The sequence below is a fragment of the Homo sapiens genome, chromosome 11 (genome assembly GCF_000001405.40).
Source record: "Homo sapiens chromosome 11, GRCh38.p14 Primary Assembly".
Lineage (NCBI taxonomy): Eukaryota > Metazoa > Chordata > Mammalia > Primates > Hominidae > Homo > Homo sapiens.
The window spans coordinates 114,039,830-114,046,859 of NC_000011.10; the positions used below are offsets into that span (position 1 = coordinate 114,039,830).

The 7,030-nt window shown below is 45.6% G+C and overlaps 1 annotated feature.

Annotated features, from left to right (window-relative positions):
• Nucleotides 4,138–4,432: an enhancer, noted in NCBI's record as "tiled region #6346; HepG2 Activating non-DNase unmatched - State 21:Repr". NCBI's record gives its function as "activates a minimal TATA promoter and a strong SV40 promoter by Sharpr-MPRA in HepG2 cells {active_cell/tissue: HepG2}" and the evidence as "EXISTENCE:reporter gene assay evidence [ECO:0000049][PMID:27701403]".

The window sequence follows — 7,030 nt, forward strand, 5'->3', positions numbered from 1 at the left end:
TCTCTTGCCTTTTTTGTTTGTTTGTTTGTTTTTGGTAACAGATGCAATATAGCTGATGCTCAGAGAGATGAAGTGACTTGCTTAGGGTCACCCAAATTGTAAGAGCTAAAGCTTCTAAGACTGATCCAGACACCAACGCCATTTATTAGCTGTGTGAACTTAGCTACAAATGTCACTCTCTGAGCCTGAATTTTCTCATTTGGAAATAGGTATAACACTGTCTTCCACCTTTGGGATGGATATAACAGAACGTCATAAACTGAGTGACTTATAAACATTGAGCATTTATTTCTCACAGACCTGGAGGTTGAGAAGACCAAGATCCAGGGGCTGGTAGATTCCATTCTGGTGAAGGCCCATTTCCCGGTTCCTACATGGTGCTTTCTGGTTGTGTCCTCACGTGGTGGCAGGGATAAGGCAGCTCTGTGGGGCCTCTTTTATAGGAACATTAATCCCATTCATGAGGACTCTACTCTCATGACCTACTCACACTCCAATGGGCCTACTTCCTAATATCATCACCTTGGTGATTAAGTTTCAACACATGAATTTGAGGGGGTGTATAAACGTTCAGACTATAGGAAATACCCGTCTTTAAAATGGGTATATAGCAGCCAAACCCATCTTCTAGGATTGTTGTGAAGTTAACTGTGAAAAAGCATGAGAAATCACTCACTCAGCCTAGTTACTATGGAGTTAGCATTCTGTAAATGTAGACATCATTATTATCTATGACTATAATTATTGTTATCACAGCATTCATGTCTGTCCTTTCTCCCCCAAAGCCTCTTCTGAACCAACACATACATAAACTTTCTTTCCAGGAACAAAGATCTCAGATCTGAGTTCCTTGGGGAGACCAGGCCAAAATGTCAGCCTGACTTTGGCTTGATTCTCAAGATCATGCAAAGAAGACAGAAAAGTTGAAACACAGAGGAGGAGGGGAAACAAATAGATGGCAACTTAGACAAAAAATGGGGAGGAGGCGAGCCGCCAGAGTCTGGGCTCTGTACAGCCTGCATGTTAAGCCTGCAAACCAGTTACATATCCCTGACCCCGGCGGCTTGAGGAAGCCTGAATGCTAAAAGGCAAAGTCTAAAAATGGGCCCTGGGTAGATTGGGGAGGTCCCGGGAAACCTGGTTTCATTTTACAACCAACAACTAGGATCCAGGTTGTCACGGGAAAATACTATATAAACAAGTTAGTTCAAAGAGTGACTCACACTTAGCCAGGCTATAAAGTTAGCTCTGCCCAGGCTAAGTACTAAAGATAACTCCCCAACCCCCTTTTGCGCAGGGAATGTAGGGCAGGAGCCCTGGGAGGCCCTGGCTGGCTGGCTTGGTAGGATCCCAACCCTGTGCCTAGCACTAACCTCCTAGATCTGGATACCCCTCTGGCCACCAGGAATGAGTTGGGTTCACATCTGATTTCTTTTTTTTCTTTTTTTTTATACAGAGTTTCGCTCTGTTGCCTGGGCTAGAGTGCAGTGGCATGATCTCGGCTCACTGTAACCTCTGTCTCCTGGGTTCAAGCGATTCTTATGCCTCAGCCTCCCGAGTAGCTGGGACTACAGGCACACGCCACCATGCCTGGCTATTTTTTTTTTTTTTAATTTTAGTAGAGATGGGGTTTCACCATGTTGGCCAGGCTAGTCTTGAACTCCTGACCTCAAGTGATCTGCCCATCTCAGCCTCCCAAAGTGCTGGGGTTACAGGTGTGAGCCACCTTGACTGGCCTGATTCCTTCCAATTTCTTTTCTTTTCTTTTCTTTCTTTCTTTTTCTTTTTTTTTTTTTTTTTGAGACAGAGTCTTGCACTGTCGCCCAGGCTGGAGTGCAGTGGCACAATCTCAGCTCGCTGCAAGCTCCGTCTCCTGGGTTCACGCCATTCTCCAGCCTCAGCCTCCTGCGTAGCTGGGACTACAGGCACCCGTGACCACGCCCGGCTAATTTTTTGTATTTTTAGTAGAGACGGGGTTTCACCGTGTTAGCCAGGATGGTCTCGATCTCCTGACCTCGTGATCCGCCCGCCTTGGTCTCCCAAAGTACTGGGATTACAGGCGTGAGCCACCGCGTCTGGCCGATTCTTTCCAATTTCTGAGACAATCATGGCGAAGAGGAAACCAAAGGAGAAGGATGGGGGCGGGTCACCCCAAACAAACTGTCAGCCAGAGGTAGTATCTTCCGGCCTTTTAAAATTCCATGGCACACGGATGGATTTCCCAGGACTAATGAGGAAAGAGGACCTTACGCTGGCTGTCAACTGGTCCGCCATATCCCAATACACATGTGCAAGGACTTATATTCATCCCTCATCTCTCCTCACCACATTCACCATCCTCCTCCTTAGCCTTCTCAGTGGCAACGTGCCGAAGGAAATCTGTAATCTAAGGTGCTGCAAAAGTCTCAGTATCTTTGCACTTCTCCTAATTTGGAACTTCTCTCTTCCTCTCATCTGTCTACCTAAATGTTCTCCAGACTTTCTGAAAGTGAGGCAGTGTGCTGGGCACAGGTGACCTTGGAGTTAGACTTCAAAGGAGAAATGACTTTGGTCTAGACAGACAGAGAAGGGTGCCTCGAGTAGAAGGCACAGTCTGTCCAGAGCTGAGGAGGCATGATAGTGCATGGCCGAGTCAGGGAGTGGGGAGCGGTTCACTGGGGTAGGAGAATGCTGCCAACGTGTAAAGGTCTTAAAGGCCATGCCAAGTTGTTTAGGGTGTTTTTTTTTTTTAAATGTAGGTCATGAAAAGAGCCCTTGAAGGGGAGTGACAGATCTGTCCTTTAGAAAATAATTCCATCGGCCATTTGGAGAGGAGCTTGCCAAGAGGTGGCTAGAAACAAGTTGGCAGAGTGGGCCAAATCCTCCTCCAAGATCAATTCACTCTCTGGTTATTTCAATGCTATTTCTAGACAAAGAAGCATCAGATGACATGAGAGAAAAGGACAGAGAACTTGCAAAAAACTCCAATGGGCGGGGCCAGCACTGGGTGAGGCAGTGTGTGGCATTATGGTACAAAATGTAAGGAGGCATCACACTTAGAATCACGCAAGTGCTCCGAGAGTGATACCTTTTGAATTTTGCATCCTAGCTGCCTCACTTGCCTCACCCTAGTCCTGGGCCTTGCTCGCAAGCTTCTCATCACCTGCCCCATCTACAGGGGCTCCGGTTTTGACCTCTCCATGGGGAGCCAGGAAGCCTGTGTTAATTTTTTTTTTTTTTTTTGAGATGAAGTTTCGCTGTTGTTGCCCAGGCTGGAGTGCAGTGGCACGATCTCGGCTCATTGCAACCTCCACCTCCTGGGTTCAAGCAATTCTGCCTCAGCCTCCCAAGTAGCTGAGATTACAGGCAGCCTGCCCCACGCCTGGCTAATTTTTGTATTTTTGGTAGAGACGGGGTTTCACCATGTTGGCCAGGCTGGTCTCGAACTCCTGACCTCACGTGACCCTCCCGCCTTGGCCTCCCAAAGTGCTGGGATTATAGATGTGAGCCACCACACCCGGCCGCCTGTGTTCATTTGTACTATGTTTAAATGCAAAGGCAAGAGTGCTGATGTTGCTGGTGGACCTGGATCCAGGTCTTAGCTCTATACTTTACAAAGTGGTAAAACAAGCTACTGCTATGTAAAAGTACTGGGTATAGGTCCACACAAATTTCAGACATTATCATTCATTTTGCCTTCTTTTTTTGTTTTGAGACGGAGTCTCACTCTGTCACCCAGGCTGGAGCACAGTGGCACGATCGTGGCTCCCTGCAACCTCCAGCTCCTGGATTCACGCGATTCTCCTGCCTCAGCCTTCCAAGTAGCTGAGACAACAGGCACGTATCACCATGCCTAGCTAATTTTTGTGTTTTTAGTAGAGACGGTGTTTTGCCATGTTGGCCAGGCTGGTCTCGAACTCCTGACCTCAAGTAATCTGTCCACCTTGGCCTCCCAAAGTGTTGGGATTAAAGGCATGAGCCACTGTGCCCAGCCAGCCTTCTTCCTGGCTGACCCACCCTCAGACAGCAGGGACATAATGATGCATGAGGCTATTTCTTTCGGTTAGCAGTATCAATGAAAATAACCATAACACACAAATGGAATCTCTACTCAGAGCTGATGGAAGGACATATTCCTTTCATTTCCCCAGCTGTTAATTTTTTGGGCCTGAATCCCACATTCTCAAGAACATGCTGCCTGTTTGTTTAAAAGTCTTCCTGGGGAGAAAAAAAAATAGCACATTTCTTGTTTTGTTCTTTCATTCTTTGAACAAATATTTATTACGAGCCTCTTTATGCCAACCATTGTCCTGGAGCTTGGGGTATGACGGAATGAATCACAGTCCAGCCCTCTGCCCTCATGAAGCTTACACTAACTAGAGGGGAGCCCTAGGGAGTTTCCAGGAAGGGCGGCGACAGGAAATAAACAAGGTCATATACACAAAGGAAACCATTTCTGGGAGTAACAAGCGCTATAAAAACAATCAAACCCAGAGGAGGGCCTGAAGGAGAGGGAGACAGCTCCAGACAGGGCAGCTGTAGGGAGGTGCTCTGGCTCTCAGCGGGGAAGAGCTGTTTGATGCGGATATTGAGAAAAGGGCCAGTGGAAACGAGTATTGTGTGCTGCAGAGAGAGCTACAGTCAGGGGGAGCAGCAAGTGCCAAGGCCCTGAGGTGGGCACTAGCCATCTTTCGTTATGTTATCTGTTTTGAGTCAGGCATATGCTGTTTGGGAATGATCTCTGAACAAGGGAGGAACAGTGTTTGCAGACCTGATTCAAAGTAGCATTACCTATATCTCTTTCTAGTTCTTCATCATCCCCCTCTATACCATGGACCTTATTTGGGTCACAGCTAAAGCCTCCATAACCACAGGTGCCATGCCCTCCTCTCCTACTCCCTCCTCTATGACCTGACTGTGGCTTCACTGCTGCTATGTTGTTTCCTTTCCAGAGCCACAGAGAGCCATCATTGGCAGAGGCGCCTTCCCATTCCCTGCTAAAGTTGAAGCCCAGCTTGAATTCACTCTCCTCATTCTGCTCCTGTGTGTGGAGTCCTCTCAGTTCCTGAGCACCCTCAGGATCGGGGGGCAAGGTTGTGATAAAGAGACCTTTCTTTAAGCACACCCACATCACACCATCTCTCCATCCGCAGCTACCAGCACCTCATTTCAGTGTATCTGATAGAGTTCACAGAGTATTAGAGAATTTCCTAGGTAGAGGAGGTTTAGTAATAAAACTAGCTCAACATCTTCATGTTCTCCACAAGGAACCCAAGGAGGGGAATTAACTTGCTGAAGCTCAGAGTCAGTTAGAGACTACTCTTAGAGCTCTTCTCAAAGAACTGAGCAAGTACTTTAAACTGGTCAAAACTTTTTCCGTATATCTCCAGTTTTACACAGGAGAATGTTGAAGCACAGAGAGGTTAAGTGACTTGCCCAAGGCTACGCAGGAAGTGTTTGGCAGAGCTGACCTTGAATCTAGGCCTTCTGAGTGGAAATCTAATGTTCTCATCATTTCACCATGCTCTCTCCAATCTGTCTGATGGAAATCAATAAGTAAATATTTCAGAACATTCCAAAAAGATGCTGGGGAAGAAAAAAAAATTACCACCCCTCCATGATTTTTTTCTTGTTACTAAAGGCACTCAGCAGGTAGTAAACTCAATTAAGGAAAATCATCTTTCTGGAAAGATTGGATATTGTCTTTCTTTGAGAAGAACTTCTACACAGTCAAATATTGGTGTAGTTTATTCGAATGCTTTCCCTTGAAAGAAAATCTCTTCTGATGACTGAGAGTTTATACAGAACGAAGAAACTGGAGAAATCCATGTTTTGCAGTAGACTGTAGTCAATTTTTAGTCTTTCCTGCTTTTCACCAAATTTCTCTTCCTGGCAATATTTTTGGCATTTTATTTTTAGTCATGGGTGAGGGAGTGGGAGAGGATTTTTTTTTTTTTTTTTTTTACTGGAGTCTAATATACATATCACTAGAAACATACGTAATCTTAACCTATTGGCTGCTTTCACACAGGGCAAAAGTGGTAGCTTTAAAAAGAAAAGATTGGGCAGGATCGGCATCTCATCTCCAATCCAATAGTAGTATTCATTCCCAGGGAAATGCCCTCTGCTTCCCTATGCATGGGGTGCAGTCAGAGGGGCGTCCAGGAAAGGGCCAGCTTTGGGAATCCGATAGACCTAGGTTTACTTCCAGCTTTGTCTCTTATGAATGGGAGATCTTGGCCATGTTCCTTAATTTCTTCAAAGTTACAGAGACCTTAGATATCATCATTATATTGGTAAAGAAACTGAGGCTTAAGAAATCTGCCAAACTTTCATAGCTATTAAATGATAGATCTGGGTTTGAGACCCACATTAGTATGATTTCAAAGCCTAGACCTTGACACCGCACATTGCTTCTCCACGGAATCATCTCTCACCCCAAAGAAAAACATTAATGGATTGTGCACGTAGAAATCACACCTATCAAGTAACAGGATTCTGACATTTAAACTAGTATGTCAGAATGACTATACACACCTGTGTGGGTGTTGACACACATAGGTATATATATATATATAAACAGATATAGCGATAATATATCTCAAAATGTAGATTACATGTTGAGAAAATATACGTTACACATTGAGAAAGAGAATATAAATCTTTTTTTTTTTTAGATCGAGTCTTGCTCTGTTGTCCAGGGTGGAGTGGAGTGGTGTGATCTCAACTTGCTGCAACCTCTGCCTCCTGGGTTCCAGCGATTCTCCTGTCTCAGCCTCCCAAGTAGCTGGGATTACAGGTGCCCACCACCATGCCTGTCTAATTTTTGTATTTTTAATAGAGACGGGGTTTCACTATGTTGGCCAGGCTGGTCTTAAACTCCTGACCTCAGGTGATCCACCCCCCTTGGCCTCCCAAAGTGCTGAGATTCCAGGCGTGAGCCACGGCCCTGAGAATAGAATTCTTACCACTATGTTGCTGTTATTGCTGGGTTATGAGCTACAGGAGGATTTCAACTTTACTGCTCCCTAGTCCCCCTTGTTTGTGACCT